This window comes from Homo sapiens, chromosome 8 (assembly GCF_000001405.40).
Source record: "Homo sapiens chromosome 8, GRCh38.p14 Primary Assembly".
Lineage (NCBI taxonomy): Eukaryota > Metazoa > Chordata > Mammalia > Primates > Hominidae > Homo > Homo sapiens.
In genome coordinates, this window is record NC_000008.11 from 132,639,284 (window position 1) to 132,662,160 (window position 22,877).

Below are 22,877 nucleotides of genomic sequence, written 5' to 3' on the forward strand. Positions count from 1 at the left end.
TCCCTATGACTGCCTCATGCCTGTGGGATTAACATGGCAGATTTTGCAACCTCCAATGTCTAGAAAGCCTTCCCCAGCTAATACCCCAGGTCCACCTTGTTCTGCATTTATGTCTTCAAAGTTCTACACACCCTTCCATTATCATTTCTTATTATATACTTTTTTGTAATTTTTCTGTGGCTATATAAATTTAGAGTGAATTTTGGTTCCTGATAGATTAACGTCACCAATATGAATTTGATTCAGATTGGTTCATAGCTATGCAACTGTATCACCTTTGGTGAGGTTTCCTCAATTCTGAAGGCTATATAATGGAACCAACTTCACTAAATGATGGTGTTCTCTCCGTGTTCCTAGATCCTATCACCTGACTCAATCTTGTCCAGAATTCCACGTTTTCCTCTTATTAAGTCAGATCCCAAGCCAATCTCCTCCAAATAAGTTACCTCTATCTTAGAACTTCCAGATATAGCACCTCTCTATATCCACCCATCCATTCATCCACCCATATAGGAGTTACAGGTTGCCTGCTAACATAGATGTTGCTGAGCAAGCTCTTTAGGATAAACTGATAAAAAAAAAAAATCATGGTCCCTGAGTTCACATTTATGTCTAACATAGAGAAAAGATAAAACGAGAAAAAAATACAAGGAAAAGAAAATTAAATGTGCAAACACAGAATCCAGAAGTAGGCAATGCCCATTAGACATTGTAAGCTACCCTAAACCTATATTCATTCAAGCCATTGTTTCTGGCATTCTACAAGATTTGCTTCTCTAAAGGTTACCAAAAACCATGATATTAGCAAGTCTAATAGACCTTCTTCAACCCACTTTTCACTAGAACAATCTGCTGCATATGGCACAATTTATCATGAATTATCTCTTAAAATTCTCAGCCATCTTGGTAACAGCGATACTACTCTCTCCTTGTTCTCCTTATACTGTAGTCTGTTCCTCTTCATCTCTTTTATAAACTTCTCTATACCTTCAATGGTGATATATCCCAGAGTTCCACCCTTGGCCCAGTATTTTCTGTCATCATCTTCTTGATGACAACAGTCATGGTTATTGGTTTAACTAACCCCAGATTCTGATGATTTCCAAATGATAACCCACTATCTGAATCTCGTACTCCTATTTCCAAATGTCTGCAAGACATATTACATTCAACATGTTCAAAATGGAATTCTCCCTATTTCCTCTTATTCTCCATTCCTCAACACAGCTTCTCTGCCTTGTTTATGTCTAAACTCTTTTAATACCATCATTATTTTGGTTTTAGACATGAATTTGATACATCTAAGGGTCAAGTCATAAATTTAAAAGTTAAATTACTCTCTTAACTTCTTCATGTCATTAACCAAGCCCCAGAGACCTTAACTCCTAAATTTTATCATATATTTCCTGTCTACTATAATCCTATTATCCATACCCCAGGTTCTTATCACCTTTTGCAACAAAATACATTAATAATCTCCTTATAAACTGATTATATCCAAGAATATAAACAGTTTGAAAGAAGGAAAGAATAGATAAAAGTAGGAAAAGAAAAGAGGAGTCTGGAACGTCTTGATGTACCACTAAGCAAGAAAGTACTCAAAGAAAGATAAGAACATTTTAAAACATCAGAAGAGTCTACTTGGAAGGGTTTCTGTAGCCAAACCTGGGACACTTTGATCATTAAACTAAATAATAGTGGTAACATTGTTCATTGAATAAAACAAGAATCCATGAGTTCATGCCAATATAAGAAATACAAATAAATTGGGGGAGAAGGCAAAGTTTTTTCTTAAAGTAGAATGTCATCTAATAAATATAAAAGGAATGATGGAATGAAAACAAGTCATTAGAATGTTAAAACCAGTGCATGGAAGTATGATGAGGAATAGGATATTTACATAATGTTCAAGTATCTTCCCACAAATTACTCATTAGTTAAAAGTGAAATATAGTAATGTTACAGTAGAGAAACCTGGTAGACATTGTCTTTTCTTTGGTTCCTTTTATGGTCATCAGATACTCTCTAACATACGTATTGTTTCATTTTAATTTTGTGTACATCCTTTGTCATACTTGATGTTCTTCTTTTTTTGTTTGAGTGTTTATGACCTGTCTTCCCCATTAGAACTTAAGCTCCATGAAGAGGGGAAGATTGGCTTGTTAATTACTTTATCTCCCACACATAAAAGATTCCTTGGCGTGAGATAGAAGGTCAAGAAATACTTGTAGAAGAAATGAAGAGATGGGAGGAGGAAGAGAGGGAAGGAGAAAAGAAAGAATGAGGGAGAAAGACAAAGAAGGAAAATGGGTAAGTGCAGCAGATAAGTCAACAGGTAGATTAGTTAGTTGGCTCAGGTGAAAACTAAAGGACAGACAACTTTAAAGATAATTGAGCAACTGAGGGAAAAAATGGAATTGACAAGACTGAGTATAGGTGACTATTATAGTTGGACATTAAATTCTAGTAAGTATAATTACATGATATAAAATAAATAAGCACATGTAGGAAGAGACTCAATGTAGAAAAATGGTTAAGCAAACTCTAATACATCTATTCAATGTTTAATGTTATAAGGACATTTAAAATGATGGTTATGAAAACGATCACAGCATGGAGGAGGAGAGCTTATGATATAATGAAAATGGAAAAAGTAAGATATAACATCACCCATGTGCTAAAATTACAACAATGTAAAAGACAGAAAAAATAAATATAGCAAAATGATAATAGCAATGGTGGAATTAAGATTAAACATCATTCTATTTTTCAAAATTTTGCAACATGGTTAGAGTTGAGAATTTTTTAAAGTATATAAATACAGAAAATACATGAAACTCATAGAAAACTAAGATATAAGTTAGCATAATTTTCTCAAATGTTGTAAGTATGCTCCAGGTATATAATATGCTTATTAACTACATGGCTAATATTTATTTGCTGTTTACTATATTCAGCTCTTCCATACACATTATTTTATTCAATCCTAACATCATGCTTATGAGAGAAATATCACAATTACTATCTTTATTTGAAGGTCAGATAGCTCAGTGTGGGCACTTGGCTCTGAGATGCCCATCATGTGCACTCATGCTATTTCTCATGGAGAGATGGCATCGAATCCTTCTCCTTCTCTCTGCATTGGGGCTGGCCCCAGGAACTTGCCTGACCAACAGACTGTGGAACCAGTGAAGCTCTGGGGCTGCCTAGATGTCTGAAATGCTCACACTGGAAGGATTGCCCTGCAAATAATTGCTCTGGGACATGTCAGAAGCCAGATCAAGTGTCTGGCTACCTTGACTCCACCACGCTCAGAGACCCTAAGCCACCTGGAGAATCGTAAAGGCAGTGAGAGAGAACAAAATCTGCTTCTGTGGAAAGAAACACGCCCAGAAGCAGCTCCAGATGGTAACTGAAGCAACCATCTTGGAGGTGGATCCTCTAGCAATGGCTGCTTCCGGAATCTATCTGGCAACAGATACTTGCAACTGCAACGCAAATGAGCTAAGGAATTACCAAAGTTTACACAGCTCCTAAATGGATGAGTTGGGATTTGGACCCAGGTTGGCCCACCTGAAGATTCTCTGAACGGATATGTTAGAGCAGCGGTCTCCAACATTTTTGGCACCAGGGACTGGTTTCATGGAAGACCATTTTTCCACGGACGGTGGGGTGGGATGGTTTCAGGATGAAACTGTTTCACCTCAGATCATCAGGCATTAGTTCTCATACGAGCACGCAACCTACATCCCTCGCAAGATCAGTTCACAATAGGGCTCCGCTCCTATGAGGATCTAAAGCAGCAGCTGTTTGGACAGGAGGCGGAGCTCAGGCACTAAAACCCTCTTGGCCCACTGCTCACCTCCTGCTGTCAGCCGGTTCCTAACAGGCCAGAGGTATCGGTTCTCTACCCAGGGTTTGGGGACCCCTGTGCTAGAGAGTCTCTTTGCCAGTGTTAGCCATTTATTATTAAAATATCATCATCATCTTCACCTTAAAATTCTCATGCTACAATTCTGTGGAACACATACTTAAGTCTGTAAGTAAAAGTAGTTGTCACCACCCAGCAGAGGTGTAGCCCAGGACTGACCTGCCTGGAATTCATGACACAGGTGGAGATGGAGAGACCAGCTTGGAAGAAGGCAGGAGGAGGCAGGTAGGATAAGAAAGGCCAGAGATTAGATGTGGGAGAGTTGGGGAGCAAGTGTAATATCCTCTCCCAACACAGTTAATTCAAAAGACCAGTCCCCGTAAATGGGTCCGTATGCCATATTTCATTATGATATCCTGTCAATGTCATATGAAAATACACGGAGGGTGGGTAGGAGAAAATTGAGAACCTTGCAGATGGTGTGAGAGAACAAAATCTGCATCGTCCACATCAGGAAGTCAATAGATGACATCTAAAATAGGAATATCAAGAAACAGCAGATAAGCATGATGTAAGTGCAATACTTGGAGACAAGCATAATATTGAGTGCATTCGTTAGACACTTGTAATAGAAGAAGCAAAGGGAATTGTGAGTAGCTACCTCTAGGCAGTAGGACTTAGAGGTCTGAGGGGATTGACAAGGGACATAAGTATAGCACTGTGACCTTTTGAACTATTATATTACTATGCTAAAAATATAAATTGTGTAACAGATAAATATCCAGAATTTACAAGAACAAATAAATGCTTTTATATATTCTAGATTTTACTATATAGGTGAAAGAAATTCATTAACCTCACATCTTTAAAAATAATTATATAAATGAAAAGGGGAAACAAAATAATTATTTCTATTAAATTAATAAAAACATGGATAATATTAAATACATATATCAGCAAGCCTGTGACATAAGAGTTATACCTTTCAGCATGCAGTCTGTCAATACATAAAATAGGCTTTTAAATTATTCTTTCCTCCATTGCTAGAATTTCATCTGGGGAAAAAAATGTCCCAGCCAAATATCTCAACTGGAAACAGAGGTAACTCATACAAATCTGCTCAGAACAGTTATATTCATAATAACAAACGTAATTAAAAACACCTCCAGCACCAAACAATAAGGTTGCATTTAAAACACATCAATAGGAGGAGGTTTCAAGACGGCCAAATAGGAACAGCTCCAGTCTATAGCTCCCAGCATGAGCGACACAGAAGACAGGTGATTTCTGCATTTCCAACTGAGGTACCGGGTTCATCTCACTGGGGCTTGTTGGACAATGGGTGCAGCTCACGGAGGATTAGCCAAAGCAAGGGGGGCCATCACCTCACTCAGGAAGCACAAGGGGTCAGGGAATTCCCTTTCCTAGGCAAGGGAAGCCATGACCAATGGTACCTGGAAAATTGGGACACTCCCACCCTAATACTGTGCTATTCCAACAGTCTTAGCAAACAGCACACCAGGAGATTATATCCCATGCATGACTTGGAGGGTCCCACGCCCATGGAGCCTCCCTCACTGCTAGCACAGCAGTCTGAGATCGAACTGCAAGGCGGCAGCAAGGCTGGGGGAGGGACGTCCACCATTGCTGAGGCTTGAGTAGGTAAACAAAGCAGCCGGGAAGCTCGAACTGGGTGGAGCCCACCACAGCTCAAGGAGGCCTGCCTGCCTCTGTAGACTCCACCTCTGGGGGCAGGGCATAGTTGAACAAAAGACAGGAGAAACTTCTGCGGACTTAAACGTCCCTGTCTGACAGCTTTGAAGAGAGTAGTGGTCCTCCCAGCATGGAGTTTGAGATCTGAGAATGGACAATCTGCCTCCTCAAGTGGGTCCCTGACCCCTGGGGAGCCCAACTGGGAGGCACCTCCCAGTAGGGGCTGACTGACACCTCATACAGCCAAGTGCCCCTCTGAGACAAAGCTTCCAGAGGTAGGATCAGGCAGCAACATTTGCTGTTCTGCAATATTTGCTGTTTTGCAGCCTCTGCTGGTGATACCCAGGCAAACAGGGTCTGGAGTGGACCTCCAGCAAACTCCAACAGACCTGCAGCTGAGGGTCCTGACTGTTAGAAGGAAAGCTAACAAACAGAAAGGACATCCACACCAAAACCCCATCTGTACGTCACCATCATCAAAGACCAAAGGTAGATAAAACCACAAAGATGGGGAGAAACCAGAGCAGAAAAGCTGAAAATTCTAAAAATCAGAGCGCCTCTTCTCCTCCAAAGGAACGCAGCTCCTCGCCAGCAACGGAACAAAGCTGGACGGAGAATGACTTTAGGCAAAGTGGAGAGAAGAAGGCTTCAGATGATCGGTAATAACAAAATTCTCTGAGCTAAAGGAGGATGTTTGAACCTATCGCAAAGAAGCTAAAAACCTTGAAAAAAAATAGACAAATGGCTAACTAGAATAAACAGCGTAGAGAAGACCTTAAATGACCTGATGGAGCTGACAATCATGGCATGAGAACTAAGTGATGCATGTACAAGCTTCAGTAGCCGATCAAGTGGAAGAAGGGGTATCAGTGACTGAAGATCAAATGAATGAAATGAAGCGAGAAGAGAAGTTTAGAAAAAAAAGAGTAAAAAGAAATGAACAAATCCTCCAAGAAATATGGGACTATGTGAAAAGACCAAATCTACATCTGATTGGTGTACCTGAAAGTAATGGGGAGAATGGAACCAAGTTGGAAAACACTTTTCAGGATATTATCCAGGAGAACTTCCCCAACCTAGCAAGGTAGGACAACATTCAAATCCAGGAAATACAGAGAATGCCACAAAGATAATCCTTGAGAAGAGCAACTCCAGGATACATAATTGTCAGATTCACCAAAGTAGAAATGAAGGAAAAATTGTTAAGGGCAGCCAGAGAGAAAGGTTGGGTTACCCACAAAGGGAACCCATCAGACTAACAGCAGATCTCTCAGTAGAAACTCTACAAGCCAGAAGAGAGTGGGGGCCAATATTCAACATTCTTAAAGAAAAGAATTTTCAACCCAGAATTTCATATCCAGCCAAACTAAGCTTCATAAGTGAAGGAGAAATAAAATCCTTTACAGACAAGCAAATGCTGAGAGATTTTGTCACCACCAGGCCTGCCTTACAAGAGCTCCTGAAGGAAGCACTAAACATGGAAAGGAACAACCGGTACCAGCCACTGCAAAAACATGCCAAATTTTAAAGACCACCAATGCTAGGAAGAAACTACGTCAACTAACAAGCAAAATAACCAGCTAACATCATAATGACAGGATCAAATTCTCACACAACAATATTAGCCTTAAATGTAAATAGGCTAAATTCTCCAATTAAAAGACACAGACTGGCAAATTGGATAAAGAGTCAAGACCCATCAGTGTGCTGTATTCAGGAGACCCATCTCACGTGCAGAGACACACATTGGCTCAAAATAAAGGGATGGAGGAAGATCTACCAAGCAAATGGAAAACAAAACAAAACAAAAAGCAAGGGTTGCAATCCTAGTCTCTGATAAAACAGACTTTAAACCAACAAAGATCAAAAGAGACAAAGAAGGCCATTACATAATGGTAAAGGGATCAATTCAACAAGAAGAGCTAACTATCCTAAATATATATGCACCCAATACAGGAGCACCCAGACTCATAAAGCAAGTCCTTAGAGACCTACAAAGAGACTTAGACTCCCACACAATAATAATGGGAGACTTTAACACCCCACTGTCAACATTAGACAGATCAATGAGACAGAAAGTTAACAAGGATATCCAGGAATTGAACTCAGCTCTGCACCAAGTGGACCTAATAGACATCTACACAACTCTCCACCCCAAATCGACAGAATATACATTCTTCTCAGCACCACATCACCCTTATTCCAAAATTGACCACATAGTTGGAAGTAAAGCACTCCTCAGCAAATGTAAAAGAACAGAAATTATAACAAACTGTCTCTCAGGCCACAGTGCAATCAAACTCGAACTCAAGATTAAGAAATTCACTCAAAACAGCTCAACTACATGGAAACTGAACAACCTGCTCCTGAATAACTACTGGGTACATAACGAAATGAAGGCAGAAATAAAGATGAGAAACCAATGAGAACCAATGAGAAAAAAGAAACCAATGAGAACAAAGACACAACCTAACAGAATCTCTGGGACACATTTAAAGCAGTGTGTAGAGGGAAATTTACAGCACTAAATGACCACAAGAGAAAGCAGAAAGATCTAAAATTGACACCCTAACGTCACAATTAAAAGAACTAGAGAAGCAAGAGCAAATTCAAAAGCTAGCAGAAGGCAAGAAATAACTTAGATCAGAGCAGAACTGAAGGAGACAGAAACACAAAAAACCCTTCAAAAAATCAATGAATCCAGGAGCTGGTTTTTTGAAAAGAGCAACAACATTGATAGACCACTAGCAACACTAATACAGAAGAAAAGAGAGAAGAATCAAATAGATGCAATAAAAAATGATAAAGGGGATATCACCACCGATCCCACAGAAATTCAAACTACCATCAGAGAATACTATAAACACCTCTACGCAAATAAACTAGAAAATCTAGAAGAAATGGATGAATTCCTGGACATATACACCACCCCAAGACTAACCCAGGAAGAAGTTGAATCCCTGAATAGACCAATAACAGGCTCTGAAATTGAGGCAGTAATAGCCTAAAAACCAAAAAAAGTCCAGGACCAGATGGATTCACAGCCGAATTCTATCAGAGGTACAAAGAGGAGCTGGTACCATTCCTTCTGAAACTATTCCAATCAACAGAAGAAGAGGGAATCCTCCCTAACTCATTTTATGAGGCCAGAATCATCCTAATACCAAAGCCTGGCAGAGACACAACAAAAAAAGAGAGTTTCAGGCCAATATCCTTGATTAATATCGATGCAAAAATCCTCAATAAAATACTGGCAAACCGAATCCAGCAGCACATCAAAAAGCTTATCTACCATGATCAAGTGGGCTTCATCCCTGGGATGCAAGGCTGGTTCAACATATGCAAACCGATAAATATAATCCAGCATATAAACACAACCAAAGACAAAAACCACATGATTATCTCAATAGATGCAGAAAAGGCCTTTGACAAAATTCAACAGCCCTTCATGCGAAAAACTCTCAATAAACTAGGTATTGATGAGACGTATCTCAAAATATTAAGAGCTATTTATGACACACGCACAGCCAATATCATACTGAATGGGCAAAAACTGGAAGCATTCCCTTTGAAAACTGGCACAAGACAGGGATGCCCTCTCTCACCACTCCTATTCAATATAGTGTTAGAAGTTCTGGCCAGGGCAATCAGGCAGGAGAAAGAAATAAAGGGTATTCAATTAGGAAAAGAGGAAGTCAAATTGTCCCTGTGTGCAGATGACATGATTGTATATTTAGAAAACCCCATTGTCTCAGCCAAAAATCTCCTTAAGCTGGTAAGCAACTTCAGCAAAGTGTCAGGATAAAAAATCAATGTGCAAAAATCACAAGCATTCTTATACACCAATAACAGACAAACAGAGAGCCAAATCATGAGTGAACTCCCATTCACAATTGCTTCAAAGAGAATAAAATACCTAGGAATCCAACTTACAAGGGATGTGAAGGACCTCTTCAAGGAGAACTACAAACCACTGCTCAACGAAATAAAAGAGGACATAAACAAATGGAAGAACATTCCATGCTCATGGATAGGAAGAGTCGATATCGTGAAAATGGCCATACTGCCCAAGGCAATTTATAGATTCAATGCCATCCCCATCAAGCTACCAATGACTTTCTTCACAGAATTGGAAAAAACTACTTTTTTATGGAACTTTTTTATGGAACCAAAAAAGAGCCCGCATTGCCAAGACAATCCTAAGCAAAAAGAACAAAGCTGGAGGCATCACACTACCTGACTTCAAACTATACTACAAGGCTACAGTAACCAAAACAGCATGGTACTGGTACCAAAACAGAGATATAGACCAATGGAACACAACAGAGCCCTCAGAAATAACACCACACATCTACAACCATCTGATCTTTGACAAACCTGACAAAAACAAGAAATGGGGAAAGGATTCCCTGTTTAATAAATGCTGCTGGGAAAACTGGCTAGCCATATGTAGAAAGCTGAAACTGGATCCCTTCCTTACACCTTAACAAAAATTAATTTGAGATGGATTAAAGACTTAAATGTTAGACCTAAAACCATAAAAACCCTAGAAGAAAACCTAGGCAATACCATTCAGGACATAGGCATGGGCAAGGGCTTTATGACTAAAACACCAAAAGCAATGGCAACAAAAGCCAAAATTGACAAATGGGATCTAATTAAACTAAAGAGCTTTTGCACAGCAAAAGAAACTACCATCAGAGTGAACAGGCAACCTACAAAATGGGAGAAAATTTTTACAATCTACCCATCTGACAAAGGGATAATATCCAGAATCTACAAAGAATTTAAAGAAATTCACAAGAAAAAATCAAATAACCCCATCAACAAGTGGGTGAAGGATATGAACAGACACTTCTCAAAAGAAGACATTTATGCAGCCAACAGACGCATGAAAAAATGCTCATCATCACTGGCCATCAGAGAAATGCAAATCAAAACCACAATGAGATACCATCTCAAACCAGTTAGAATGGCAATCATTAAAACATCAAGAAACAACAGGTGCTGGAGAGGATGTGGAGAAATAGGAACACTTCTACACTGTTAGTGGGACTGTAAACTAGTTCAACCATTGTGGAAGACAGTGTGGTGATTCCTCAAGGATCTAGAACTAGAAATACCATTTGACCCAGCCATCCCATTACTGGGTATATACCCAAAGGATTATAAATCATGCTGCTATAAAGACACATGCATACGTATATTTATTGCAGCACTATTCACAACAGCAAAGACTTGGAACCAACCCAAATGTCCATCAATGATAGACTGGATTAAGAAAATGTGGCACATCAACACCATGGAATACTATGCAGCCATAAAAATGGATGAGTTCATGTCTTTTGTAGGGACATGGATGAAGCTGGAAACCATCATTCTGAGCAAACTATTGCAAAGACAGAAAACCAAACACCGCATGTTCTCACTCACAGGTGGGAATTGAACAATGAGAACACATGGACACAGGGTGGGGAACATCACACACTGGGGCCTGTCATGAGGTGGGGGGAGGGCGGAGGGATAGCACTAGGAGATATACCTAATGTAAATGATGAGTTAATGGGTGCAGCACACCAACATGGCACATGTATACATATGTAACAAACCTGCACATTGTGCACATGTACCCTAGAACTTAAAGTACAATAAAAAATAAAAATAAAAAATAAAACACATTAATAAACTTGACAATGCAGTTGTTAAATTATAAAAATGTAGGCTCAGGCACTATATGAAGGATGTGTACAAAACTATATCTACAAATAAAACAGTCTATATCTCTATGTTTCTATGTTTATTTTACATTGGCAAAAATGACAGATGAATTTTATAAATGTAGAAGATATATTTGGGGTAATCTGACTTAAGATAGGTTAGGTGGCATTTCTTAAGTTTAATTTAGGAGGCTCCGGAAGACATTTTAATTACATTTTTCTTTCATATAAGAAAAGACTGACATTTGAAAGCCTCCAATGAGGTGAAAATGTCATATATCTTTGGATGTTGCTATAATTTTGTAGATAAAAAACCCTCCAAATGTTCATTATATTTTTCAAAGTGTCAAATCTTAATGTCTACTTGGCCTACAATTAAGAAATTAAACTACATTTGTCATCCCAAATATGAACAATTCTTGCCAAACTGGCCAAGCTTGAGAAAATCTCATCTCTGGAGTTCGGCACTGCTTCCTTCAGTGGAGTCCCAGCCTCTATCTCCTGTTCTGTGGAGATCCAGCTCAGTGACCCTCTGGGGTCTAAAAATCTTGGAAATCACCAACACTGACTGCCAAAGGCGGGTGGGGGAGCTCATGCTATGGGAAATTCCACCTCTCCTTCCAGGTTAGGGTAAGGGATGGAAAACAAAAGCACTTTATTCTACCCTGGTGAATCTTCAACAGGAGAAAAAGAAAAAAAAAAGGATACTAGCTATTTTTTTTTTGCCATCCAAGGAAAAACAGTAAAAAGCAAAACGATTTATTTTTACTTAAGCAGGTGGGTTGAAGGTGTACCCCCATCTTCCTCCTCTGTCACCTCAATCCCTTAAAATTAAACAAAAGTACATATTTGCCAGCAGATAGGATGCATTCTCCATTCCCACTATCCCCCTCCACCGCCCTTACCAAACAATCCTCAGGCTACCCTACACCCAGTTCATCCGTGTTAAAGCTGGAAAGCAGAGCACAAAAAGACCTGTTCAGGTAAAAGGCAGGAGGGGGGTTGGCCTGCAGTTTGCCAAGCTCAAAAAGACAATAGTGACGATGCTGCCCTCTAGTGGTACATAAATAAAACAAATCACACAAACAGAACTCATACGGTGTAAGAATACTTACTTCACAAAATTAACAAGCGCTGGACAACCCAGCCAAGAGTCCCAGTTTTAATTATTTCTTTGGCATTTTAGATAGAAACTTCATTACCACAAAACATGGACATACAGTAAATTTTATTATTCCATTTGTTCACAGGAGAACAGGGCCGTAAAACGTTAGCTGGGAGAGAGCAATGACTCCATTTCTAATGCAGAAAAATGCCAATGATGAAAAGCATCATCTTGATCCCAGGACTGAGGCCAGGTTTGATGACTTTGGTAATGGTAATTTTTGAGAATGAAAAATAAAAATATATGATGTAGATTTATGTAATTGTTATTAAAGAATCTTAATAGTCACTGGAATATCCATTTTTACCCTAGTAGGCAAATAGGCTAAAATCCACCATGACCTAAGTAAAGTCCTCCTAATTTCAGCTATTAGCAGATGGCATTGGGGTGGGGAGAGCAGCTTGTCTGCCTCTATTCCATGGCCCTGCACTCTAAAGTGAAGTCTGCTAGTCAGCACGCCCCACCCACTTGCAGAGTACACAGTGGCTCTGCCAGGCAGGCTGAGGCTGGATAGGCAAGCAGAACCTCACAACTGCAGAATAAGTCACACAAGCCACCTAATACACCAAATCCTTTGTGACTGTAATCAGACACCAAATGTTACCAGACATTTAGAGAAAAATAGCACAAGATAGAAGCCTGCAAAATAAAACAGAAACCTCAGATGAAGAAGATAATTCAGGGGATGAAAAAAATTGACAGCAAAAAGTTCTAACAATTATCTCCAAAGAGATTTCGAAGATATCTCATCCATAAAATAAGAATACACACCACAGGAATGACGCAATCAGAACATAGAAGTTTAGAAGAATAAAAAGTATGGCCAAAATTCACATATACACCATGGAATACTATGCAGCCATAAAAAAGGGTGAGTTCATGTCCTTTGCAGGGACATGGATGACGCTGGAAACCATCATTCTCAGCAAACTAACACAAGAACAGAAAACCAAACACCACACGTTCTCACTCATAAGTGGGAATTGAACAATAAGAACACATGGACACAGGGAGGGGAACATCACACACCAGGGCCTGTCGGGGGTTGGGGAGCTAGGGGAGGGATAGCATTAGGAGAAGTACCTAATGTAGATGACGGGTTGATGGGTGCAGCAAACCACCATGGCACGCGTATACCTATGTAACAAGCCTGCATGTTCTGCGCATGTACCCAGAACTTCAAGTATAATAAAAAAAAAGTACGGCCAAAATAAAGAGTTAATTGTAGATGGACTGAACTATAAAATGAACAGGGATGAAAAGAAAATGATTATTTGGAACTTGAATCTGGTGAAATGTTTCAAAATGTACAATATCAAGAAAAATGGATTTAAATAAAAGATGCAGGTCAAAAGGCACAAAAGATCAGTATAATACTACTAAAATCCAATTGAAAGAAGTTCTTGGGGAGATTTAAAAAACACAAAAGAAAGTTATTGGAAAAGATAATAGGTAGATGGATGGATAGATGGAAGAAGGAAGGGAGGAAGGAAAGAAGAAATGGTAAAAATGTAGTTGTCAACGAATAATTCTCTATCTGGGAAAACTCTCCTTCAAAAATGGAAAATAAATTAAGATTTTTTAGATAGACAAAAATGAGAGTTTTTCACTAACAGATCTATGCTACAAGAAATAGTAAAGAGTGTTTTTTAGGCTGAAATGAAAAGACACTAGGGAGAAACTCAAATGCATTTGATAAAATAGGAACAATTACTAAAGGTAACTATATAGGTAAATATAAAAGACAATATAAATTTATTTTTGTACCTATTTTCTTCTCCTAAATTATTTAAAAGATGGCTGCAAAAAGAAATAATTATAAATCTATGCAAATAGGCACATATTATATAAAGATGTGATATGTGACAATAACAGCATAAACGAAGGGAGGAAAACTAAACTATACAGGAGCAAAGTCTGTATACTATTGAAATGAAGTTGGTATGAATTTGAACTAGATTGTTATAAATTAAGATATTAATTGTAATTCCCAGGGAAACCACTAAGAAAATAACTCAAAAATATACAGTAAAAGAATAAGGGAATTAAAACAGTACACACAAAAATAACAAAAATGAAAAGAGTAATCCAAAAACAGAACAAAGTAGACATAAGATATATAGAAAACACATTGCAGATAACAGACACAAATTCTGCCTTATTGCTAATTACATTAGGTGTAAATGGGTTAATCTCCCAAATTAAAAGGCAGAGATTGACAGGATAGATTAAAAATCAAAACACGATTCATCTATATGCCTTTTAAAGAGAAGCATTTTAGATTCAAAGATAGAAATAGTTGGAAAGGTAAAAGACAGGAAAAGTTATACCATACAAATGGTAACCAAAAAGAAAAGGAGAGAGCTGGAGTGACTATATTAATACCAGACAAAATAGACTTTAAGGCAAACATTGTAACTATAGACAAAAAAGGACATTTTATAATAATAATAACATAAATTCATCAAAAAGATAAAAATATTATAAACATATATGCACCTAAGAGCAGAGTCCCAAAATATCTAAAGCAAAAACTGACATTATTGACACGAGCTAGGGACAATTCAACAATAATACTTGGAGACAGCAATAACCTGCTTTTAATAATAGATAAAACAATTAGAATATCAGCAAGGAAATAGAAGAGTAGGAAAGAAAGAAACAAAAGGCTAGACCTAACAGGCATATTTAGAACAATAAACCCAAGAATGGCAGCATGTACAATCTTCCCAAATGTACATGGAACAGCCTCTAGGACAGAACAAATGTTGGGCCATAAAACAAGTCTCAATAAGCTTAAAGTAATTAAAATCAAAGAAAGTATTTCTTTCTTTGACCTCAATGGAGTGAAACGAGAAATCAGTAAAATGAGAAAATGTGGGAAAGTCACAAAGATGTGGAAATTAAACAACACTGCTATATAACTAATAGGTTAAAGAAAAAAATTGCAAAAAAAAAAAATCAGAAAATACTTTGAGATGAATTAAAACAAAAGCACAACATATCAAAACTTAGATGCAAAAAAGTAATGCTCATAGGAAAATTCATAGAATTTTATTTATGGCTCCATAAAAAACAACGACTCATATCAATAACCTAATTGTCTGTCTTAAGAAACTAGAAAAAAGAGAAAACACAAAGAGAAAGAAATAATAAGGATTACAGGGGAAACAAACAAAATAGAGAATATAAAACAATAGACAAAATCAACAAAATCAAAAGTTGGTTCTTTGAAAAGATTGACCAAATTGACAAACCGTTAGCTGCACATTAACCAGAAAAAAAAGAACACTCAAATTTAGTAAATCAGGAATGAAAGATGAGACTTTACTATTGACATTAAAAAAAATGAAAAATATAATAAGGGAGTAGTAAAAACAACTGTATGGTAAAGAATGAGATAACCTAAGTGAAATAGATAAATTCTAGAAAGACATAACCTTCCAAAACTGAGTCAAGAAGAAATAGAAAATCTGAATAGACCTATAATAAGAGATTAAATTAATAATCAATAAACTTTCCCAAAGAAAAGTCCAGGACCAGATGGCTTTCCTGGTGTATTCTAACAAATATTTAAAGAAGAATTAACACAAATTTTTTACAAGCTCTCTGAAAAAAATCGAATAAGAAGCACTTCTCAATTCATTCTATAAAGGCCCCTACTATCCAGACAGTAAAACCAAAGACACCTATAGGGAAAACAAACAAACAAACTATAGACAAAACTAAGAACAACTGTGCCTCAGAGGCCACCATCATGAAAGTTGAAAAGAAAACCCACAAATTGGAAGAATATATCTGCAAATCAATTATCTGATCGAAGTCTAGCATCTAGAATATATAAAGAACACTTGCAACTTAACAGTAAAAAGACAAATAATATAACTAATTTAAAAATGGGCCAAACCTTTGAATAAACATTTTTCCAAAGAAGATATTCAAGTGGCCAGTAAGCACATAAAAAATGCTCAACATCATTAATCATAAGGTAAACGCAAATCAAATCAGAAGCACAATAACATACCACTTCACACCTATTAGGGTAGGATGGCTACTATAAAAATAAACAAAAATATCTTCCTATCTTAAAAAATATTGTTTATAGAAAGTATTAGTGAAGTTGTGTAGAAATCGGTACTCACATGGACTATCAGTATAAGTACAAATCGATACAATAAATATTTTGCAGAACAACTTGGCAGTATCTTTCCAAATATGCTGATTTAAATGCAGGAATTCCATTTCTAAGTGTCTGTCCTAGAAAAAACTGTGCACATGTACACAAAGTAAAATGTAGAAGGAGGCTTACTGTAGCCATGCTTATTATAGCAAAATGCTGGAACGCACCCAAATGTCCATCTGCAGACAGATGGTTAGATAAATCAGTCTACAATGATTCCGGTACGTAGCCCCACGCCCCCTTTCCTGGATATCAAAAAAGCAAGGTAATTGTAGGGAAGAAACTAATTTTCAAAACAATACTCATAGTATGAAACCATTAATAGAAAGCAAAATGAAACAAAACCACCTTGTATATACCCAAGTGTTAATTCTGGCTACCTCTGAGGAGGCTGGGTTAGGAAAGAGTGAAATGGACTTCCATTTTTGAATTTATGTATCACCTTATTGCTTGAATTTTTATAAGAAGAATAACTATAAGATGTATGTAAAATGTTAATTTTAAAAGCGTACCTATTTTTATACAAGACTGTTTAAATCTAACTTTTTTCTTTTTGGGGAGGACGGAGTTTCGCTGTTGTTGCTCAGGCTGGAGTGCAATGGCGCAATCTCAGCTCACTGCAACCTCCGCCTCCTGGGTTCAAGCGATTCTCCTGTCTCAGCCTCCTGAGTAGCTGGGATTACAGGTGCATGCCACCACGCCTGGCTAATTTTTGTATTTTTAGTAGAGACGGGGTTTAATCATATTGGTCAGGCTGGTCTCGAACTCCTGACCTCAGGTGATCTGCCCGCCTTGGCCTCCCAAAGTGCTGGGATTACAGGCGTGAGCCACTGCACCTGGCCTTCTAACTTAAAATCTCAATTTTAATTCATAATAGCATAATAGAAGAAACAGTCTTACCTTCCAAGTTTTCTATTTTTTCAATGTTGTTTAAAGCTAAATTCAAATATTCAAGTTTCTTGAGTTTGCTAACATTTTCTGAAATACAAGATAATGTAGTTAAGATAATTAATCTTCAAAATAAAGACACTTTTATGTAATCTATTACTAAAATAATAAAGAAAATCTAAAGATTATTATTATGGTTATCAAAACCATGTCACTTTTCCAAATCTATACCTGTACATCAGACACGGTGGCTGCCTAAGGAGGACCCATTTCTCCCTCCATCCTTCCTAATGACACCCAGTTTTGCTCATGTCTTTACCTAGCCCTAACTCCAGGCAGTTAGGTTTAGCCAAGCTGGGCCAGTGCATGACAATCCAATCTCTCTTGCTAGTGGTGGCTCAGGAACCTAGGTTTAAGCCAAAAAGCCATGGCAGTCTTTTGGCAACCGTGTGATACAGGAGAGGACATGCACACCCAGTCCTCCTAATCAGATAAAAGGGAAGGATCTATATTCCATGCTTGGAGGGTTCTTATCTCTTTTTCCTGCTGGATGTTAATAAGGAATTACTATCTCTATTGATACTTATACTCAATCATAAGGGAAACAGCTGCAGGACAAAGCCTGAGAGCTGGTAGAGCAGAGAGAAGGAATCAACCAACCCTGACTGACTCTGGAGTCTGCTCTACCTGTAGACTTAAAGTTGGGTAAGATAATTGATTTCCTTACTGTTCTACCACATTTAGTTGGGTTTCTTTGACTTGAAGCCAAAATCAACCTGATACAGGATTATCTTATTTAATAAACATGAAAGCCAATACAGGCAAAACAACAAGCATAAACAAGTCACAGAATTGCTGCAGAATGGGGCCTTTGAAAAATAGTTAATAATACCATAGCAACTATTGCTGAGTGCTTATCACATGTCACACAATGTTCTCAGCATTTAGTATATATTACCTTATTTAATCCTCATAATAACCCTATGAGGTCAAAACTATTGTCTCCTTTTTACAAATCAGAATACCAAGGTACAGAGAATTAATTCACTTGTCCAAGGTTAAGTGGTAGAGCTAGGAAAGTTGACTCCAGAACCTGGAACTAAATCATTATAGTACACCTTAAAAGAACAGTCCTTTCTAAGATGACAGGAATGTAGAAAACTTTGCTAAGGAATGTGCACTGGGGGCAGCCTCATTCAATTAGTGCCTCCTCTGCCCATTTCTCAGGTACACCATGAAGCTCAAAGATGGTGATTTATAATCATCACCCCTATCACCACTAATAGTTAATCTAAAATGTACAAAACATCATATATTTGTTTCCATAGACCTGAACATAACAGTTCACATCTCTGAATCTCAATTTATGCATTGTTTAAATGGAGGATTTGGGGGAAAAAATTACAAACATTTCTCTCAGAATTTAAATTATTCTAAGTAATCCTAATGTTTGAAAAAGCTCTTTAGAAACATCTGAGCATTCAATAGTCAAAGATTTGGAGGTTTCTTTTTTCTTTTTTTAAGAGACAGAGTCTCACTCTGTTGCCCAGGCTGGAGTGCAGTGGCCCAATCTCAGCTCACTGCAAGCTCCGCCTCCCGGGTTCACACCATTCTCCTGCCTCAGCCTCCTGAGTAGCTGGGACTACAGGCGCCCGCCACCACGCCTGGCTAATTTTTGTATTTTTAGTAGAGATGGGGTTTCACTGTGTTAGCCAGGATGGTCTCGATCTCCTGACCTCGTGATCCAGCCGCCTTAGCCTCCCAAAGTGTTGGGATTACAGGCATGAGCCACCGCTCCCAGCAGATTTGGAGGTTTCTATGTGCTAAGAACTATGAGAGTCTCGTCCACATCCTGAACAAAATACTTTATTATTGTTAAAATGGCCAGCCCACAATAAAATACCTCTTCAAAACAGGATTTCCCTTCCCCACCTTTGTTATACGCATCACCCTCTAAACGCTAAAGGAGTCATATGATAGAAAAGTAAGAATTTGCTCAGGGACGGTTTCCTAAGCTAACTCCTCAAAACCCCAGGGCCCAACTTGGACACAGCGGGTTAAAAAAAAGGCTCTGTAAGTCAAAATGGAAGAGCCTCTTGGGTAGGGAAAAGGGAGTCTGAGTTCTAGCCAGACCATTCTAGTAACAGTTCTCATCAACTAAGCAGGCCCACAAACTTGGAGTAGACCCTCTGCCTTCTCGGATTTAAGCAGCTCTGTAGCCCTCAGCTTGGCCCAGGCATGCAGCCCACTGGGAAGCTGTTGAAAGGGTTGATTCCAGGAGCCCACAGGTTCTGATTCAGTAGGTCTGGGGACGGGGCACTTGACAAGACCCCACATGGCCCCTGGGCTCCCTCTTGGGTCACCTCTAAGCAGTGCCTTCCTCCGCAGACCATCTGTGTCTTCCCATGGGCAACAGGGCTTTAGGAAAGGCAATTGCTTCACAAACTTCTACCTCAATGGCACAAGAGCAAGTCTGAATCCTAGAGGGGTGGTTTTACTTGCTAAATAAGTGCCTAAATGCCTATGGGTGGAGTAGCACTGAAAAATCCCATTATTAGGATTTAAAAGAGTGTTTAATTTAAGAGTACTTTGGAAGCAAAAATTTAAGCTTTCTCACAGTTCTGAAAAGGACCGAAATACCATGCTCCTAATTAGTAATTGTGATGGACCCAGCTGTGGAGATTAAAATTTTGGGAACTCTTTTAGATCTGTACAATTAGAACCGTTCTTTCATGCCCCCATGCATAAAAGCTGGTGGTTTTCTGTAATAGCCTTTTTAATTGAACAATGTGCCAGAGTTTCTAATTTCTGGTCAAGTTAAAGATGCCAAAAATAATTAACTCAAAAAATACAGAGAATTTTAGTAAATCTTCCAAAAATGATGCAAACCTAGGCTTTTTGCAAGCCTGAGGCTAATTTTCAATTATCCACGAAACTAGAAGCAACCACATCACCAGGGTTTCTCAACCTCAGCAATACTAACATTTTGGGCTGGATATTCTTTCTTGCGGGGGGTGGGGGAGCATCCTGAGCACTGTAGGATGGTTTGCAGTATTCCTGGCCTCTATACACTAGATGCCAATAGCATCCTCTCCCCATCCTCCCATACACATGCGACAACCAAAAATATCTCCAGACATTGCCAAATGCCCCTGTTGTGAACCACTGCACATCATCACGGGAAGTTAAATATGATCCTGCAAGCTGACCTCTGGGTTCTCGTGCCAGGGCACACAGGGGTTGGCACTCACTCTGCCTCCTCAGCCCTGACTCCATCCCTTTTCCTCCAACTCCACTGGCTTCTCCTTTCTGCTCCTACCTTCATTTGGCTAGCCTGGGGCACAATGAGGTAAATGATCAAATTGGTAACAGCAGCAGCACAGCAGCTATCCTGTAATGAGTACTTATCTTTTTTTTTTTTAATTATACTTTAAGTTTTAGGGTACATGTGCACATTGTGCAGGTTAGTTACATATGTATACATGTGCCGTGCTGGTCTTATGGTGAGCAAGCACTAAGCATATCATTTCATGTAATCCCTATGCCAATTTACATTTTAGGCATTATTAGCCATTTTACAGATGGCAAGACTAAGACTTGGGCAAGTAACTGACTTGTCAAATTTCACACTGCATAGAGGGAGGCGGGAGAGGCAGTGTTCTGACCCAGGTTTACCTGATGCCAGAGCCTGTGCTTTCTCTTTCCGGGTGCTGGGGATTCTCCTTCTGTGTCCATGTGGCAGGACCTCCATTAGAGTAACTCCACAGGCCTCCCTTCCCTCTTCCCTTTAATTCATCATTCTTCTGTGAGAGAAGTCAAGTGTGGTGGGGGAAGGAAGACCAATTTATCTGATAGGTTAATCAGGAGAAGAAACTGAGCATGCCCAGTCCTACCCTCTTTCCTGGTTTCTGGGATCTTCCTGCCAGCAGAGAGCACATGGTCTCAACCTACCTCCTGACATAAAGCAAAGGCCCACCTGGGGAGGAGAAACTTGTGGTTGTTCAATTCTGCATGTAACTGGGTGGGTAGGTTAATTCTGAGGGCAATATTAGCAAGCCCACTTGGCTGCAAGTCTACGCCACTTTCTTAGAAGAGCTTTATCAGTTATAATACTGATATTTTTATCTTCATTGACCTGATCCCTGCATTTACCTCTAATTTCCATTCCAAATCGGAAGCCCCTCAATACCCAATACTGAGCCCAATGCCTTGCACATATATGGTCACAATAAATATAGCAAAACTAGCTATTGAATTCTGCAGTAACCTGACAAGGACTCCCTCAATTCTCATATAAATTTGTTTTGCAGTGTGATGTAAAATGATGACAAATGCCTCCTCCCTTTCAAACTTAAAAAAAAAAAATCAGGTCTGATGTGTTCTCTGTCTTTTTAGATGATCAGGTCAACTAATGTGTTCCTCACCTTTACCTGCTCTCCCAACTCCTTGCTGGAAATTGTTTTCACTACACACAGAAATGTTCAGGGAAACGCCCCCCACACAACCACTGAGAGATGGCTGTGTCTGTTTTCCCATGGAGTTTTTTTTTCAGTGATTGTCTTCTAAAAATAACACAGCACTTTCCAAAGTTCTCTCATTCACAATGTTCAAGAAACCATGAGAACTAAGTACTGAAACTTACCAATTTTCCCAATAAGATTATTTTGAAGATAGAGAATTTTTAAATCCCGGCACCATTTATCAATGTGTTCTAGTCTTTCTATTTCTTGCTGATGCAACGAGAGTTCCTCCAGGGAAAAAATGACACAGTCGTTGTGTTCAGCATTCCGTCTAATAAGATCTTCTGTGACTGGAAGAAAATGTGTTACATATTACATTTCTGTCCCCATTGTTCAATATAAGATTATTGTGTTGTTAACGCATTTGTGTTTTTTTTGTTTGTTTTTGCAGTTGAATGTCAATTTTCCAGGCCCAAGCGATTTTCAAAGTGAGAGAGAAAATGGTACCTCCTCCTGGAGTTTTTGTGATGCCATGATGTGAGCTGGAGAGAAGAAGAAGACATGATGATATTGTATTTGCCTTTGAATGTGAAGGGTCTACATACATTTTGCTGTATGGATGGAGATGGAGTTGAGAGTTAATGGCTATAAAAATGTTTACATGGAATCTTATGGTGGTACCATGTTAAAATGGATGAGATCCACTAACTAATCTGAGACAGAGCAACTTGCTACTGAGAGGCACAGTTGAGCTGTCAGAGGGCAGAAATATGAAAGCATCTTCTACCATTCAGAAAATAAAGGTCACAGGTCATTCATTTAACCAATGTTTATTAATTTAACTAAAGCTTAAAAGAAAGAAAAGGAACGCTTTAGATCTTGC

General features: G+C 38.6%; 1 protein-coding gene across 26 annotated transcripts in view; it reads right to left on the bottom strand.

The window, feature by feature from the left end:
• DNAAF11 (dynein axonemal assembly factor 11) overlaps positions 1-22,877 on the bottom strand; it is a 132,498-nt gene that overhangs the window by 68,868 nt on the left and 40,753 nt on the right. For 17 of the 26 annotated variants that reach the window (NR_135907.2, NR_073525.3, NR_135909.2 and 14 more), the window contains 2 exons: positions 22,177-22,344; positions 17,547-17,624 (listed from right to left, as the gene is read on the bottom strand). The exons of 4 other annotated variants lie outside the window; for them this stretch is intronic. Coding sequence is in view for 9 of the 22 variants with exons in the window: in XM_011516950.3 (XP_011515252.1) it covers positions 17,547-17,624; positions 22,177-22,344 (246 nt within the window). In the remaining 13 variants the exon portion in view is untranslated. Of the gene's footprint in view, positions 1-4,090; positions 4,404-17,546; positions 17,625-21,209; positions 22,146-22,176; positions 22,345-22,877 lie in introns of those variants that run through there. 5 more of the 26 variants (NR_135905.2, NR_135912.2, NM_001321965.2 and 2 more) reach the window with 3 other exon arrangements.